Source organism: Homo sapiens, chromosome 9, assembly GCF_000001405.40.
Source record: "Homo sapiens chromosome 9, GRCh38.p14 Primary Assembly".
In the NCBI taxonomy this organism is placed as follows: Eukaryota; Metazoa; Chordata; class Mammalia; order Primates; family Hominidae; genus Homo; species Homo sapiens.
In genome coordinates, this window is record NC_000009.12 from 138,251,973 (window position 1) to 138,270,701 (window position 18,729).

At 43.5% G+C, this 18,729-nt stretch overlaps 1 long non-coding RNA gene and 1 pseudogene across 1 annotated transcript in view; both read left to right on the forward strand.

The window, feature by feature from the left end:
• FAM157B (family with sequence similarity 157 member B) overlaps positions 1 to 18,729 on the forward strand; it is a 55,218-nt gene that overhangs the window by 35,117 nt on the left and 1,372 nt on the right. The window contains exons 11-14 of the long non-coding RNA NR_146178.1: positions 717 to 1,245; positions 6,836 to 6,917; positions 9,679 to 9,743; positions 11,967 to 12,156. This is a non-coding gene — a long non-coding RNA (family with sequence similarity 157 member B). The remainder of the gene's footprint in view (positions 1 to 716; positions 1,246 to 6,835; positions 6,918 to 9,678; positions 9,744 to 11,966; positions 12,157 to 18,729) is intronic.
• Positions 7,623 to 7,726, forward strand: RNU6-785P (RNA, U6 small nuclear 785, pseudogene; annotated as a pseudogene).

Genomic DNA, 18,729 nt, shown 5'->3' on the forward strand with positions numbered 1-18,729 from the left:
TATTATCTTTTAATTAGATGATTTAGTTAGATATGTTTTTAAAGAACTAGAAATATAATTGTTTTTCTTGTTTTGGCTCTGGAGTGGAGTGGGGATGAAACAGAATGGATTCACACTTGTTTAGATTTACTAAAATGGAAAGATTGCAGCAAGATCATATCCCTAGTCTCCCTATAGCAAATGTCACCTGCTAGCTGTTTTTTTTTTTTTTTTTTTTTTTGGAGGTTGAAGTTTTGTTCTGTCACGCACGCTGGAGTGCAGTGGTATGATCTCAGCTCATGGCAAGCTCACCTCCTGTGTTCAAGCAATTCTCCCTGCCTCAGCCTCCTAAGTAGCTGGGATTAAAGGCCTCTGCCACCACGCCTGCCTAATTTTTGTATTTGTAGTAGAGTTGGGGTTTCACCATGTTGGCCAGGCTGGCCTTGAACTCCTGACTTCAGGAGATTCACCCGCCTCAGCCTCCCAAAGTGCTTGGGATTATGGGTGTGTCACTGCACTTGGATTTAATGGGATATTTCACTACAGACTTCGGTAAACAGAATATTAGCATTTTTGGTGTTCTTTTTATTTTACTCATACTGTTTTTCTTTGGACTCAATCACAATAACAGAATTAAAGATCAAAGTGTAAAAGTTAAAGACCAGTACAGATTCAATAATTATTCTTTTCTACATACTGTGTTTAAATGATATCCCTTTTTCTTTTTTTTCTTATAGCTCGAGCTGTAAAAGCCAAAGGTCCGGTGATGATCCCATACCCTTTTTTCCAGTCTCATGTTGAAGATTTTTATGTAGAAGGCCTTCCCAAAGGAATTTTTTTTTTTTTTTTTTTTTTGAGATGGAGTTTTCACTCTTATCGCCCAGGCTGGGGTGCAATGGCGCAACCTTGCTGGTCACTGCAACCTCTGCCTCCTGGGTTCAAGAAATTCTCCTGCCTTAGCCTCCCAAGTCACTGGGATTACAGGTGCCCACCACCATACCAGGCTAATTTTTGTATTTTTAGTGGAGATGCGGTTTCACCATGTTGGCCGGGCCAGTCTCGAACTCCTGACGTCAAGTGATCTTCCCGCCTCGACTCCTGATATCAAGTGATCTTCCCGCCTCGGCCTCCCAGAGTGCTGAGATTACAGACGTGAACCCATGCCTGGCCAGGAATTTTGTTTTTTAGGAAGGCTTTCTACTAATGGAATTCCTGGCCTTGAGAGGATGTTACTTTAGAAGGAAAGGATTTTTTTGTTATTAAAAGGTAAGATTCCTGGATTCTTATTGGACTGTTGTCTCTGTTATGAGTAATCCATCTTTAGTCATTCACCACTAGGGTTGTATTTAATTAAGTCTGAGTTATTTTATGGTGGTTTTGTTTTGTTTTGCTTTGTTTTTACCGAATTTTGTTCTCATTGCCGTGGCTTGAGGGCAATGACGTGATCTCAGGTCACCACATTCTCTGCCTTCCAGGTTCAAGCAATTCTCCTGCCTCAGCCTCCTTAGTAGCTGGATTTACAGGCATGCGCCACCATGCCTGGCTAATTTTTTGTATTTTTAGTAGAGATGGTGTTTCACCATGTTGACCAGGCTGGTCTAGAACTCCTGACCTTGGGTGATCCACCCGCCTCGGCCTCCTAAAGTGCTGGGATTACAGGCATGAGCCACTGCGCCCAGCCTGGGCCTGCTTCTTTCTCTTTTTCTTTTTTTTTCATTAGCAGCTTAAAATTGGTGCCTTATTCAGACACAAGCAAAAGGACATTAGCCCAGCTTTGGAAATAGGTGAGAGCCCATATATGATTTTCCTAGTTTCTCCTCCCCCTTTGCTTTTTGCTCTCTTGTTAGTATATTAATTGTTTTCACTCTCTGAATCTTTTTTCCCCATTTCTTTGGCAGACATTTTTACTTGTCTTGGAAGAGTAGGTGAAGAGCTGTTTTTAGGACTCTTTGAAAGGGTACAGTATGGGTGACAGTCTTGGCTAATGGTAACATCCAGGGAGCTGGGTTCAGCGTGAGCTGGAATCAGTTCAAATTAGCAAAGCACTGGCACTCAGTAGCAGGAATACAAGTGACTGCAAAGTGTTAAACACATCTGGAAAGGGATACTGACATCATCCTCAGAATCTGTGGGGAGTTCACATAGCCAGTTAAGACCCATTCTTCTTTGACCCTGTAAAGATTCTTTAAAGAATAAATACCCTTAGTGGTTTTCTAGCCAGCTTGCCTGCTCATTTATCTTTGAGGACGACATGCCTTGTGGAGCTCCACAGGCCCCAGAGGGGTATGGATTCTGCATTTAAAAGTGCTGAAGCTGAGAGACTGGGTCTTGGTGGACCCCGAGAGGTCTGTTTCTCCTCTACTCATTGTTCCTTTTTTTCCCAACAGCTGGCAATGCTGTTTAAATGGGTTGTTCTTTGCTGTTTTAAGTTGTTTCATAGTGGTGTGTCAGGATTTGGGTTTTCTTAATACTTTCCAAGCTGGTGACTTGAGTGGTGGTTAGGGAGGAAATGTTTTAGGGCTGTTCTGGAGCTATTGAGGTCAGGTGTCTAGATACTCCCAGCTTGTCTGTTGAGGAGAATGCTGTTCTCATTGTGCTGCCTTTGGTGGTGCTGTGTGTGGCTCTTTAGATGTGCGTGGAGGTGAGCTGGGGGAGTTAATGAGATCTTTTTTAGGTGCTTTTCATAAAGTAGCCTGCACTACAGGATTCACTGTGACTTTTTTCCTTAACCTATGCATTTCTCTCTGCTAGCTTTTGCTGTCTTTCTCATGCCTTTGATTTTCCCAGCTCCTCTTAGTTGAATTAACCTAAGTGCTCTGCTATGGTTTAAATGTGTCCCCCAAAGTTTATGTGCTGGAAACTCAATCCTCAATGCAACAGTTGGGATGTGGGGCCTAATAAAATAGCCTTCATGAATGAGTTAATGTTGTTATTGTGGTAATAGATTAGTAATCACAGAGTGGGCTTATTATAAAACAGAGTTCAGCCCCTTTTGCCCTCTTGCTTTCTTGCACTCTCTTTTCCTTCTGCCTTCTGTAGTGGGATGATGCAGCAAGAAGACCCTTACCAGATGCAGGCCCCTCAACCTTGGACTTCCTAACATCCAGAACTGTTAAGAAATAAAATTTATTCCTTTCCTTTCCTTTTCTTCCTCCTTTCCCTTCTCTTCCCTTTTCTTCCCTTCCCCTCCCTCCCTCTCTCTCTCCCTCCCTCCCTCCTTCCCTCCCTTCCTCCTTCCCTCTTTCTCTCTTTCCCTTCCTTCCTTTCCTTCTTTCCCTTCCTTCCTTTCCTTCCCTCCTTCCCTTTTTCCCTCCTTCCCTCCTCCCTTCCTTTTTTCTTTCCTTCCTTTTTTCCTTTTTATAAATTATGCAGTCTGTGGTATTCTTTTATAGAAGCATGAAATGGACAAAGACTCCATTTTCAAGAGCAAGCACTTTTGTAGTTTCTGAGCGAACTATGACTGCAAAGGAAGTTCTATAGGTAGCCTCAGATCCACTACCTAGGAAGCATGCTACCAAGCAGACCTAGGATCTAGGATTTGATCAAGTGCTGGGCAACATGATACCTCTGCAATTTAGCACTTCCCTATATACCTCCAGTTGGCTCAGCCCATTAGGGCTAAAACTACCCCTCATATCCTAGTGTCTCTTGTAGGCAGAAGCCTTGCCTAAACCCTAAGCTGCTTGGCTCACATTCTCTCTTGTGCTTTTTTTGTAGGGGGTTCAAATATACACAAAAGAAATATGTTGAACCTCCATGCACCCAACCCGCAGATTAAGCAGTTACCTCCATTTTTCCAGATTTGTTTCATCTGCTTCAATCTCCCTAAAAATTTATGTTTGTACAGGAAAGACTGAATAAATAGCTAATTTTCCACCCTACCTCTCATCTTAAGTCACTTTTCAGAGTAGTAAGTTAGTGACCTAGTAACCTTCCCTCTAATGACCAGTAGTTTTTTTTTCTGAATACCATTATGAACTCATAGATTATTGTTTGCATTTGATGTATTTCAGGCCATTGCAGTCTTTATTGTTTTGGATACTTACATTGTCTCATCTAGGTTAATAATTATCTCTTCAAGTTGACTTTCACGTCTTTTTGAAGTGATCCTGTTGGACTTTGATGGCTTCCTTGCTTTCTGGCAAAACAGATGTTCCAGGATCAATATACTGCACCATACATGGAGTCAGCCATTTCTCTAGGGAACCTTGATTCCTTTTAGTAGAGAACACAGTTTGAGGTCTTGGACTGAATGACTTTTGTGAACCTCCTCTCCTGAGACTACAGCCTGCATCCCTGCATATAGCCCGTTTGGAGCTCTTGCTGGGCACCAACAGATCTCCTAAAACTGCTATATAGTTCTGCCTCACTCTTACAAAGATTCATCTCTTGAGAGTTTTGTGCTCTACCCCCAGATGTGGTCTTTCTGGTTATGAAGCTTTTGCTTCAGTCACCCTGAATTTTGCCAGCCCTATGCATGCTATACCTTGGATTGCCAACTTGCCCTCACTGAAGCCAGTTTCTCTGGTTAGAATAGTTGCCCAAACCCATGCCTAATACTCTAGTAAACAAGGTTCTACCTGGGCTTAGGTTAACTTTTGCTCCTTTGGGCCCTGTGTTCTACCAGCATTCCATTTATCTGAAACTCTCCCTCACCTTAAGAACTTATCTGTTCTTTAATGATTTACTGCTGCTTCCTGGGCTCGAAAGAACCCAGTTCAGGAGTTTCTGTTTTAGTTTGAGATCTTATAGGCCTGTCTCATCAGGTTGGTGTCAGCCCAGCTAGGATTAGGCAGAATTGGGTGGGGGCTGTAGTGCATTTTTGGCACAGCATGTACCTGTCTGACTAATTCTCTGTCTTTTCTTTCCTGTTGCAATTCATGGGTCTTAGCATCTTCTGAATGGTGTTTAGTAGGTCATCCTGTTGATTTCCTGCTAGGGAGTAGCATACTCTGGCTCTGTACCACTGGCCAAGGGACTTAAGGATAGATGAAGGGCTGCAGTTTTGTTAAATGGAACAATATGAAGAGATGGCATTGTTTAAAAAAAAAAAAAAAGGCTTGGCAGCAGGGCCCATTTGAATGGTTGGTCCTTGGCTCCTTTGTTGATATAGGCAGATCCTTGATGGGAATTTGGAATGATCCCAAATATTGTAGATCACTGGTACATCAAGTCATCCTCAAGGTTGTCTGTGTAACAGTCTTGAATGATATTTTGTCAGTCTTTGGAGATTCTCTGTATAGGGTTTAATCATTTAGTTATTTCAGTTGAGCCTGTTTAGTTTCTTTGCAAGGAGATAAGAAATGTGAAAGAGATGCAGACATTAGGGAAAAAAAGTCAGGAGCCTTGTTTCCCCATCCTCTACTTGGGTTCTGGAACTAGACTCATAGGTGAGTAGTGAGGAGCTGGGCCCAAGCACATTAATCCTAGATCTAGCTCTGCTTTGCCCTCGCTCCAGTTCTTGTATCAAATTCACTTCAAGCCACCCAGAGTAGTATGTAGAGGAGTCATTCAGGACCATGCTCATACTTCATTGTATCAAATGGGAGATCCAGTAATTTATAGCCTATTGTTTCTGGAGCCTGGAGATGGCTCTGCATAAGATTTGCCGAAGCAAATTTTATTACATTAGAAGAGAACCTAGCTGGCTGCATCCTACACTGGAAGCTTTTAGATGCTAATAAGGAGGTCATGTAAAGGTCACAGAATGACTCTGGAATCCATTCCCCACCAAGAAAGAATAATGACATTCTATGTTGGCCTCTTTTCATTTCCCTTTGGTTTTGAGTAATAAATTCTCTCCTCACTTCCCAGTCGAACTGTTTGGGAGTCTCTATTCCCTAGAAAGACTCTGGTCACATACCCATCAGATTAAATTAGGTGAAAACTCTTTGGCCTTCATGAATGTTGAAGGATTTCAAAGGGCTAATGGAAATTCTTCTAGAAGTAACTGCAACCTCCGCCTTCCGGGTTCAAGCGATTTTCCTGCCTCAGCCTCCCAAGTAGCTGGGATTACAGGTGTCCACCACCATGCCCAACTAATTTTTGTATTTTTAGTAGAGACGGGGTTTCACCATGTTGGCCAGGCTGATCTAGAACTTTTGACCTCAGGTGATCCGCCCGCCTCAGCCTCCCAAAGTGCTGGGATTACAGGCGTGATCCACCGCGCCCAGTTAAACTTCAGTTTTTCATGTTCCATGCATTGGTCAGGGTCTTAGGGAGTGATTCATTCTAGCAGAACTCCCTGGATTTTAAGGCAGATGTTCCATTTATTAATTGACAAAGGAGGCATATTTCTCCCCTGGTAACCCAAAGATTTAGGTCATTTTCCCAGAGACTCCATTTCCACTGTGAGGGTTCTTGGAAAACTAAGCAGAGGATGAGGAAAAGTCTGTGAACAAGCTTGCTGGTCTCTCCCTGTCCTACAAAAGAGCATACCTCTTCTGTAACCAGAAGGCCCTTTTGATTAGTCAAGGCTGGACAGAGTGAGATTGGGTGTGTGTGTGTGTGTGTGTGTGTGTGTTTGTGTGTGTCTTAAGACAGGGTCTCACTCTGTCACCAAGGCTAGAGTGCAGTGGTGAGATCAGAGCTCACTGCAGCTTCCACTTCCTGGGCTCAAGCGATCCTCCTATTTCAGCCTCCAGAGTAGCTGGGACTATACGAATGTTTTACCGCACCCAGTTCATTTTCTAATTTTTTGTAGAGATGAGGTTTCACTGTGTTGCTCAGGCTGGTCTTGAACTCCTGGCCTCACGGAATCCTCCTGCCTTAGTCTCCCAGTGGGCTGGGATTATAGGTATGAGCCACCTCACCTGACCTGCGACGATTTTTCAATGATGTAATTTCTCTTTTACAGAGCCACCTAAGCTGAAGATTCCCTTGAGAACAAGTACTGTCCCTAGTTTCCCAGTGCTGGAATATAGAAAATGGATGGACAAGTAAATCCCACTCAGCACCCATAGTCCAGGCATGGGGACCTCAACACACCTGAGCCCCAGACATCACCTTTCATTGCGAGTAGCTCTGAGATGACACTTCTGCTGTTCCCAATTCCAGCATTAATTGGATTAGATAGTTATTTTATGAAGAATTTTCATATGCCACAATCCTGACCATATCTTCAAGTGAACAGAAAAATTCTATTAAAAAGTCAACCTTCTGTCTCACTCTGTTGCCCAGACTGGAGTGTAGTGGTGCAATTATGGCTCACTGCAGCCTCAACCTCCTGGGCTCAAGCAATCCTCCTGCCTCAGCCTCACAAGTAGCTGGGACTACAGGTGCTTGTCACCACACCTCACTAATTTTCCCATTTGTGTTATATGTGGATTCCACAGGACTGACTTCGAAAACTTGAGTATGCGTGGATTTTGGTATACACAGAAATGGGAGAGCTGGAACTAATCCCCCCATATACCAAGGGACAAATTGTATCTGTTTCTACAATTATACAGTAGGAGACATTATGTTCCATGACAATGGTAATTTTTAACGACAGTTTTTAATTGAGTGAAATTACCATAAAAATAATAATAGTAGCAGCTAATATTTACTGAGCTGTTACTAGGTGCCTATAAATAGCATAGATTTTTAAATTCTCCATAATTCTTCCTTATTTCACTTAACCACCCTATCTTAAATTACTCATGCTTGCCTCAGTAGCACACATACTTAAGTTGGAACAATAGAGAGATTGGCACGGCCTCTGTGAAAGAATGACATGCAAATTTGTGAAGCATTCCATATTTTTTTAAAAAAAGAGAAAAAAATTACTCCCAGATTTTCACTGTGTTTGTGCATATGACCTTTTGTTTAGGTTGAATTATATCCAAAGGTGAAATTTCCAGAAGTGAGATTACTGTGAGTCACAGGGCATGAGCATTCTTATTACCCTCGATGTAAATTGCAAAGCTTTCAGGCATGGTGGCTGTCAGCCTGTAATTCCAGCACTTTGGGAGGCTGAGGTGGGAGGATTGCTTGAGGCCAGGAGTTGGAGGAGGCAGTATAATGAGTCACTGTCTGTATGATTTAAAAAAAATTTCCAAGCTTTATGCTGGAAGGCTTATATACATTTTAAACACCACTAATACTACAAGAAAATGGCCATTTCACTGCACCTTCGCCCACACAGGTATTATAATTTAACAAGTTATTTTCTGTGTGATAAATGAAAGACCTCCTATTAGCTGGGATTACAGGCATATGCCACCATGCCTGGTTAATTTTTGTATTTTTAGTAGAAACGTGGTTTCACCATGTTGATCAGGCTGGTCTCGAACTCCTGATCTCATGATCTACCCGCCTTGGCCTCCCAAAGTGCTTGATTACAGCTGTGAGCCATGTGCCCAGCCTATTTGTCACATATTTTATCTTTCCTTATGTTAGCTTATTAGCTTTATTTCTTTATTGTCCTTTTTTTTTTTTTTGAGATGAAGTCTCGCTCTGTCTCCTAGGCTTCAGTGTAGTGGCACAGTCTCAACTCACTGCAGCCTTGACCTCCTAGGCTCAGGTGATCCTTCCACCTCAGTAGTTGGGACTATAGGCACATGCCACTATGCCTGGCCAATTATTTTTATTTTTTTATTTTTACTAGAGAGGAGGTCTTGCTTTGTTTCTTAGGCTGGTCTGGAACTCCTGGCCTCAAGCAATCCCCCCACCACCCCCTCCCAAAGTACTGGTATTATAAGCATGAGCCACCATGCCTGGGGTATCTGTGTCTTTTCCATTTATTTATAGAGTTACTTTGTCTTTTACTAATTCAATGATCTGTTTAATCTTTTATTAAATTATAAAAATGATAAATACTTTTAAATAAGTGAAAAATGTCCTTCACTCTTTAGACCCATAATCTTATCTCAGGAAATAATTGCAGTTGAGAAAATGGGCCATATCCTTCAAGATACGTACATGGTGATTGAACATCACTTCATATTTTCATATTTCGTGGACATTTGTGCCAATACCTATTGATCTATCTTAATCCTTTTCATGGTTGCATAATATTTTATTATATGGATGTATCACAATTTACCAGTACCAGTCAACTGCTGGAGGCATTTAGGCTCCTTCTAATATTTGCTTTGAGCTCTTTATATAATTAAAAATTAACCCCCTCAGCCAGGTGTGGCAGCTCACACCTGTAATCCCAGCATTTTGGAAGGCTGAGGTGAGAGAACTGCCTGAGTGTAGGAGATCACCACCAACCTGGTCAACATAGTGACACTTTGTCTCTACTAAAAATTAAAAAAAAAAAATGAGCTACACGTTGCAGTGCACACCTGTAGTCCGAGCTACTGGGGAGGCTAAGACTGGAGGATCACTTGAGTCTAGAAGGTTGAGGCTGCAGTAAGCTATGATCACACCATTGCACTTTAGCTTTGCTAAGAGCAAGACTGCATTTCTTAAACAAAATAAAAATTAGATGGGAATATTGCTCAAGCCCTGGAGGTTGAGGCTGCAGTTAACTGTGATTGCACCACTGCAGTCCAGCCTAGGTGATAGAGCAAGACCCTTTCTCTAAAAATAAAATAAAATAAAAATTAACCTTCTATCATATTTCCCAGTAACACCTTCCCTCCTACATTTCTCCTAGAAGCCCTTAAATTTTGTTTTTCACATATCGTTTAAAACTTTTAAGTGCTGATGTCTGTCTGTGTCATCCCTCTTTTTTTTTTTTTTTAAATGTCTTTTTGTCACTTCTAGCTGGACCTACCATGAAAGACTTCTGAATCCAGGAAGAGAAACTGACTGGGCAACATGTTATTCAGGTACAAAAAGACTTGGACTGTAACTCAAAAATGATCAAATAATAGTGCATGCATCAAGTGCAATCGGAAGCTCTTCTGGAGAGGGAGAGAAGCTTCCAGTTAAGGTGACATTGAAGCCAAGTCCTGTAAGATAAGGAAGAGTTGTATGAGAGTGGGGAGGGAAGGGGGAGGTGGAGGGATGGGGATTGGGCTGGGATGGGATGGAGTGAGCTGCCCAGGCAGGGAAACCAGCACTATACAGACCTGAACAATGAAGATGGCACATTTTGTTCAGGGTATGGTGAATTAAGTGTGGCAGAAATGCTTTGTAGAGACAGTAATTTGCCTGTATGGAATTTTGCCCAAGAGACCTCATTACAGTTTCTAATTTTTTGATGTTATCATGCATCACTGCCCTTGTCAGATAGTATCATGATCACAATAACATCAAGCATAATATTTCATTGATTCTCACAAAAACAGGTGGGTGCCACAGTTATCCCCATTATATGCACAAAATGATGAAGACTTGGGGTTAATGAGCGATTTGCCCAAGCTCACCTGAATATTAGGACTGAGTCAAATGTTAGTCTGGTCTGACTTTAATGCTTGCCTTGTTCATGAGCACCATGCATTGCCTCTCCTATTAAGTTAAGCAGGTAGACAGGTGAGAGAAGAGCCAGTGTGATATCGGGGGAAATTCACCCCTGATATTTCATGTAGGTTCTTTTCTATTTTCCCTGAGTGTCAGCCAGTCTGAGAAATAAAGGGAAAGAGTACAAAAGAGAGAAATTTTAAAGCTGGATGTCCAGGGGAGACATCACACGTCGGCAGGTTCCGTGATGCCCCCCAAGCCGCAAAACCAACAAGTTTTTATTAGTGATTTTCAAAAGGTGAGGGAGTGTACGAATAGGGTGTGGGTCACAGAGATCACATGCTTCACAAGGTAATAAAATATCACAAGGCAAATGGAGGCAGGGCAAGATCACAGGACCACAGGACTGGGGCGAAATTAAAATTGCTAATGAAGTTTCGGGCGCGCATTGTCATTGATAACATCTTATCAGGAGAAAGGGTTTGAGAGCAGACAACCCATCTGACCAACATTTATTAGGCGGGAATTTCCTTGTCCTGATAAGCCTGGGAGCGCCACGCGAACCCAGGGCTTATTTCATCCCTTATCTATGACTGTAAAAGACAGCCGTCCCCAAAGCGGCCATTTCAGAGGCCTCCCCTTAGGGATGCATTCTCTTTCTCAGGGATGTTCTTTGCTGAGAAAAAGAATTCAGCAATACTTCTCCTATTTGCTTTTGAAAGAAGAGAAATATGGCTCTGTTCAACCCGGCCCACAGGCAGCCAGAGTTTAAGGTTATCTCCCTTGTTCCCTGAAATTGCTGTTATCCTGTTCTTTTTTCAAGGTGCCCAGGTTTCATATTGTTTAAACAACTTGTGCAGTTAACGCAATTATCACAGGGTCCTGCGGGGACATTCATCCTCAGCTTACGAAGATGAGCGGATTAAGAGATTAAAGACAGGCATAGAAAATCACAAGGGTATTGATTGGGGAAGTGATAAGTGTCCATGAAATCTTCACAATTTATGTTCAGAGATTGCAGTAATGACAGGCCTAAGAAATTATAGAAGTATTAATTTGGGGAACTAATAAATGTCCATGAAATCTTCACAATTTATATTCTTCTGCTGTGGCTTCAGCCAGTCCCTCCGTTTGGGGTCCCTGACTTCCTGCAACACGTTTCTCTCTACTCACAGACTTCTGACCAAATGTGTGTGCAGAGTTTCTACACCAGTTCTCCAACTCTCTGGATGCCAACCGCGTATCCCACAATTCCATTCTGACACTACCTAGAGTTAGCACAGAACCCACAGGTTAGGGGCTCAGTCCCACAAGACCACCCTCACTTCAGATGCCAGTTGCAAGTCCTAGGTTGTCACCTGTATTTTGACCAACCAGTTAGAAATCAGGGTTTCCCATGACCCTCTTGTTGAGTTTAATTATTTACTAGAACAACTCACAGAACTTAGAAAAACAAGTTTTTTTTCTTTTCTTTTTAAGAGACAGGGCCTCGCTCTGTTGTCCAAGCTGGTGTGCAGTGGTGCAATCATAGCTTATTGAAGCCTCAACATCCAGGGCTCAAGTGATTCTCCTGCTTCAGCCTCTCAAGTAGCTGGAATTACAGGGTTCCCACCACCACATTTGGCTAATTTCTTTTATTTTTTGTATAGATGGGGTCTTCTTATGTTGCCCAGGTTGGTCTCAAATTCCTAGGCTCAAGTGATTCCGCCCACCTCTGCCTCCCAAAGTGCTGGGATTACGGGCATGAGCCAGTGCATCTGGCCACCTTATTTTCTATTACTGGCTCAATGTAATGGCTCCATCTCAGGAACAGCCAATGAAAGAGATGCACAGGACAAGGTAAGTGGGGAGGGGCACAGAGCTTCCATGCCCTCTGTTGGGCACACTACCCTCCCAGGACCTCCTTGTGTTTAGCAACACAGAAGCTCTCCAAACCCTGCTGTTTGGGTGTTTATGGAGGCATGATTGATAAAATCACTGGCCATTGGTAGTTAAGTCAATCTCCAGTTCCTTTTGCCTCCTGGAGTTCAGCAGGTGAGGCTGAAAGTTCCAAGCCTCAAAAAATGTGGTTGGGGCCAGGTGCGGTGGCTCACTCCTGTAATCCTAGCAGTTTGGAAGGCTGAGGCACATGGACCACTTGAGGTCAAGAGTTTGAGACCAGCCTGACCAACATGGTGAAACCCCGTTTCTACTAAAAATAACAACAGTTAGCTAGGCATTGTGGCACACCCCTATAATTCCAGCTACTCGGGAGGCCGAGGCAGGAGAATTGCTTGAACCCGGGAGGTGGAGGTTGTAGCGAGCTGAGATTGTGCCATTGCACTCCAGCCTGGGCTACAAGAGCCAAACTCTGTTTTAAAAAAAAAATGTGGTTGCTTTCTCTGGCAGCTAGCCCTCCTCCTGAAGCAGTCTCGGAGCTTGCAGCCACCCCGTTAGCTCAACAGCATCCCACATGCATTCTTACCATGCTGCAGATCTGAAAGACCTTAGAGGCCCTTGTGTCAGGAACCTGGGACTAAGACTAAATATCAAAACAGAAAATGCTCCTATTACCTCTGTCACGAAGGGCTTTATAAGAGCTTTGGAAGCTCTATGCCAGGAACCAGGGGCAGAGACCAAATGTATATTTCTTTTCTTATATCGGAGACAGAGTCTCACTCTGCCACTGAGGCTGGAGTGCAGTGATGTGATCATAGCTCACTGCAGCCTTGACCTCCTAGGCTAAAGCAATCCTCCCACCTTAGCCTCTCCAGTAGCTGGAACTACAGGCATGCATCACCATGTCCAGCTGATTTTAATTTTGTAAAGGCAGGATCTTCCTATTTTCCCCAGGCTGATCTCTAACTCTTGGCCTCAAGCAATCCTTCCTCTTTGGCCTCCCAAAATGTTGGGATTACAGATGGGAGCCCCCATACCCACCAATCACAAGGATCTTTATAAGAGAATGAGGTAGGAGAGTCAGAATTAGAGAAAGTGATGTGGTAATGGAAGAAGAGGTCAGAGAGGGAGATTTGAAGATGCTGCACTTCTGGCCTTGAATATGGAGTCACGAGGTAAGTCAAGGAATGGGGGTGGCTTCTAGAAGCTGGAAAAGGCAAAGGAGCACATTCTGTCTAGAGCCTCCCCCAGAAGGAATGCAGCCTCTCTGACACCTTGACTTTAGCCTTAATAGACCTAGTTGGGCTTCTGGCCCCCAGAACTGTAAGATGGTAGATTTGTGGTGTTTGATGCCACTAAATGTAGGGTACTTTGTTGTAGCAACAACAAAAAATGAACACGAAGCTGGGACCTCATGTTACAGTTGCTCACGCCTGTAATCCCAGAACTTTAGGAGGCTGAGGTGGGAGGATCGCTTAAGCCCAGGAGCTTAAGACCAGCCTGGGCAACATAATGAGACCTCATGTCTAAAAAAAATATTTTTTTAAAGGCCAGGCGCAGTGGCTCACGCCTGTAATCCCAGCACTTTGGGAGGCCGAGGAGGGTGGATCACGAGGTCAGAAGTTCAAGACCAGCCTAGCCAAGATGGTGAAACCCCATCTCTACTAAAAATACAAACATTAGCCAGGTGTGGTGGTGGGTGCCTGTAATCCCAGCTACTTGGGAGGCAGAGAATCACTTGAACCCAAAAGGCAGACATTGCAGTGAGCCAAGATCGCACCCTTACACTTCAGCCTGGGCGACCGAGACTCCGTCTCAAAAAAAAAAAAATAAAAGCCATGTGTTGTGGCATGCAGCTGTAGTCTCAGTTCCTAGGGTGGCTGAGGCGGGAGGATTGTTTAAGCCTGGGAGGTTGAAGTTGCTGTGAGCTGTGATTGCACCAGTGTACTCCAGCCTGGGCAATAAAGCAAGATCTTGTTTCAAAAAGAAAGAAAGAAATGAGCATGGTGGGAATGGGGACAGATGGCAGTGTTAAGTAGAGTGGTCAGGGTTGGCCTCATAAGTGAATATTGAGCAAAAGTTTGAAGCAGGTGATGGAGCTGGCCAAGGTGCTGAGGGAAGAGCATTGTAGGCTGAGTCAACAGGATAAAGGCATTAGGAGGAAACTCTCTGGTGTGTCTGAGGCTCTGGAAGGAGGCCAGTGGAGCAAAGAGATGGAGCGAAGTCAGCGAGGAGGCCAGGGAGTTGCTGGGCTGGGATCGGTACAGATCGTGTAAGCCCTGGGACGCTATTGCTGGGGCTTTGGCTTTTGCTCTGACTAAAATGGGAACCACCGAGGGCTTCTGAGCAGAGAGGCGACATGATCCGTCTCCTGATTTAAAAGCACGACCTGGCTGCCGAGTTGAGAAAGACTATGGGAAGATTTGGGTAGAAGCATGGGAGCCAAGCTGTGGCAACATCCCGGTGGGAGATGATAGTGATCCTGACGGGGTTCATGGTGGTGGTGAGAGATGGTTAGAGCCTGGATACATGTTGAAGTCAGTCAGTAGGATTTCCTGACAGACTGGATGTGAGCTGTGAGAGAAGGCAGTGGTCAAGGTTGAGTTTGATTCTGATTGAATTATTAAGTAATTTTAAAAAACACTACTGCTTTTCCCAATCCTACCAAGTAAAGGATGCTAGATAAAAGAAATCCCAAGTCAGGCCAGGTACAGTGGCTCACACCTATAGTTCCAACAGTTTGAGAGGCAGAGATGGGAGTATGTTTTAAGGCCATGAGTTTGAGAGCAGCCTGGGCAACACAGCAAGACCTCCTCTCTACAAAAATAAAAAAAATAAATTTAATAAAAGAAAATAAATATAGCCAGGCATGATGGTATGTACCTATGGCCCCAGTTACTCATGTGGCTGAGATGGGCAGATCTCTTGATTCTAGGAGTTTGAGGCCAGCTTGGGCAACATAGCAAGTCTTCTCTCTCTACAAAAATGAAAAAAATGCCTGACATGGTGATACTTGCCTGTATTCCCAGGTATGGGGGCAGCTGAGGCAGGAGCATCTCTTGAGCCCAGTTGGTCAAGGTTGCAGTGAGCTATGATTATACCACTGCACTCCATCCTGGGTGACAGAGTGGGACCCTGTCTCAAAATACAAATACAAATGAAATCTCAAGTCAGACCAGTCCCTTCTAGGCTATGTAGGCCTTGTAACCATACAGCTGCATGATCGGGTTTGTGTGGCTGTGGATGAGGAGACCCCTGTCCAATTGTTGGCTATGTAATCAGTTTATTTTTCAATATAGTAATCAAATATATTTCATCATACTTGATGGTCTCAGATATGTGTGGATTTTGGAATTCCCCTTGGAACAGGTTGTAACATCTTATTGGCTCCATAATTCCATAATTTTTTAAATCGGATCAGTTTTTAATAAGATCGCAATTTATATTAGACTACTTAATCGGTTTTGTTAATGAGAAAATGAAATTGTGTTGTTTGCATTTTATCCAAGATGGGTGTCATATTGGGTAAATCTCATCAATACTTGAACAAATGCAAAATTAGAGCTTCTTTATCATGAAACACGATGTAATTCTTGAAGAAGATGCCATTTCTTTTTTTTCTTTTTTTTTTTAAGATAAGAGTCTTTCTCTTGTCACCCAGGCTGGAGTGCAATGGTGCGATTTTGGCTCACTGCAACCTTCACCTTCTGGGTTCAAGCAATTCTCCTGCCTCAGCCTCCCGAGTAGCTGGGATTACAGGTGCCCGCCACCATACCCAGCTAATTTTTGTATTTTTAGTAGAGATGGGATTTCACCATGTTGGCCAGGCTCCTCTGGAGCTCCTGACCTCAGGCAATCTGCCTGCCTCAGCCTCCCAAAATTCAAGGAGTACAGATGTGAACAACCACGCCCGGCCTCCATTTCTTTTTTGTAGTCTTTAATAAACAGCTGCTATCATTGCAGACTTGCTGTTTAGGCACTTAGGAATTTTTCACTAGAAGGCATGTAAATAAAGACCATGGGCAATTGTAATGAATTTCGCCTTCATTCTTTGACTACATGACTGTCCCCAGAGCTGTAACTTTATTGAATTTTTTAGAAGCCATTTAGCTAGCAACTGAGCCTAACCAGCCACTCACTGTCATTATTCAGTGCTCTTTTATTATTGTCTATTTCTCCTCCAACTTGGCTACACTCACAAAGTGATAAAAACTTGCATTTGTTTTCTTTCCTTTTCAGAGACAGCGTCTTGCTCTGTTGCTTAGGCTACAGTACAGTGACATGATCATGGTTCACTGTAGCCTCAAACTCCTGGGCTCAAGTGGTTCTCTCACTTCAGTCTCCCAAGTAGCTGGGACTACAGACATGTGCCACCATGTCCAGGTAATTTTTTATCATAGAGACGGGATCTTGCCATGTTGCTCCGACTGGGCTCAAAACTCCTGACCTCAAGTGATCCTCCTGCCTCAGCCTCCCAAAGTGCTGGGATTACAGGCAGGCATGACCACCTGTGCCCAGCCCCCTATTATTATTATTTTAAATAATAGCTTTATTAAAATATTCACATACCATTCACTTTATTTATTGAAATCTGCAATTCAGTAGGTTTTAGAATATTCACAGAGCTGTGCATCGATCACCACAGTCACTTTTAGAACCTTTCATTACCCTATAGAGAAATCCATACCCCTTAGCCACTACCTCCTACTCTCCCCACCTACCTTTGCCCCCAGCCTTAGGCAACCATTGATTAATTTTTTTGTCACTATAGATTTGCCTAATCTGGACAAATAGAATTGTACAATATGTGATCTTTTGTGGCTTTTTTTCCCTCTTAGCACAGTGTTTTCAAAGTTCCTTTATGTCATAGTGTGTATCAATATTTCATTCCTTCTATGGCAGTATTCCATGGTAGAGACACACTGCATTTTGTTTATCTGTTCATCAGTTGGTGGATATTTGGGTTGTTTCCATGTATTCCATGTATTGGTCATTATGAATAATGCTGCTATGAAGATTGTTGTACAAGTTTTTGTGTGGACATATATTTTTATTTTTCTGGGATATATGCCTAGGAGTGAAATTGTTGCATTATAGGATGACTGTACATTTAGCCTTTTGAGAAACTGCCAGAATGTTTTCTAACGTGGCTATACCAGTTGGGTGCAATGGCTCACACCTGTAATCCCAGCTACTCAGGAGGCTCAGCTAGGAGGATGGCTTGAGCCCGTGAATTCAAGACCAGCCTGGGCAAGATAGTGAAACCCCGTCTTGATTTTTTAAAAATCCAATTAAAATGACAAGAAAAGAAATACCCAAACAAAATGGTTACACAATTTTATGTTCCCACCAGTAATGTATGTGGGTTCCAATTCCTCCACATCTTCACTGACATTTTTTTTTTCTAGATAGGGGCTTGCTCTGTCTCTCAGGCCGCAGTGCAATGATGCCATCACAGTTCACTGCAGCCGTGACCTCCCAGGCACAAGTGATTCTCTCATCTCAGCCTCCTGGGTAGCTGAAAATTACAGGTGTACGCCACCATGCCTGGCTAATTTTTATATTTTTCTGTAGTGGTGGGATTTTACCATGTTGCCCAGGCTGGTCTCATACTCCTGGCCTCAAGTGATCTGCCCACCTCAGCCTCCCTAAGTTCTGGAATTACAGGCTGCCACCATGCCCGGCCTTCACCAACATTTGCCATTATCTGTTTTTTTTTTCTTCCTTTATACCTTAAAGCAGTATAAGAACAAGTGTCTTCAATTATAGGAAACAGTATAATCCCAGGGCTTTGGGAGGCTAAGACAGGAAGATGTCTTGATGCCAGGAGTTTTTTTTGTTGTTGTTGTTTTTGTTTTTGTTGTTGTTGTTGTTGTTGACAGTCTCGCTCTGTCACCCAGGGTGGAGTGCAGTGATGGGGTCCACTGCAACCTCCACCTCCCAGGTTCAAGTGATTCTCCTGCCTCAGCCTCCCGAGTAGGTGAGACTACAGGCACACGCCACTACTGCCCAGCTGATTTTTGTATTTTTGATAGAGTCAGAGTTTCACCGTGTTGGCCAGGCTGGTCTCGAACTCCAGACTTCAGGTGATTTGCCTGCCTTAGCTTCCCAAAGTGCTGCGATTACAAGCATGAGCCACCATGCCCAGCCTGATGCCAGGAGTTTTAGACTAGCCTGGGCAACCTAGCAAGACCTTGTCTCTACAGAATATTTAAAAATTAGCCAAATGTGGTGGTGCCTGTGTATAGTCTCTCTCCCTCTCTCTTTTTTTTTTCTAACTTTTTGTGACATGGTCTGGCTCTGTCACCCAGGCTGAAGTGCAGTGGTGTGATCATGGCTCACTGCAGCCTGAAACTCCTGGGATCAAGTGATCAATCCTCCCACCTCATCCTACCAAGTAGTAGGGACCACAGGTGTGTGCCACCCAGGTCTTGCTATGTTGTCCAGGCTGGTCTTGAGCTCCTGGCCTCAAGCAATCCTCTCACCTTGGCCCCCCACAGTGCAAGGATTACAGGTATGAGCCACCATGCCTGG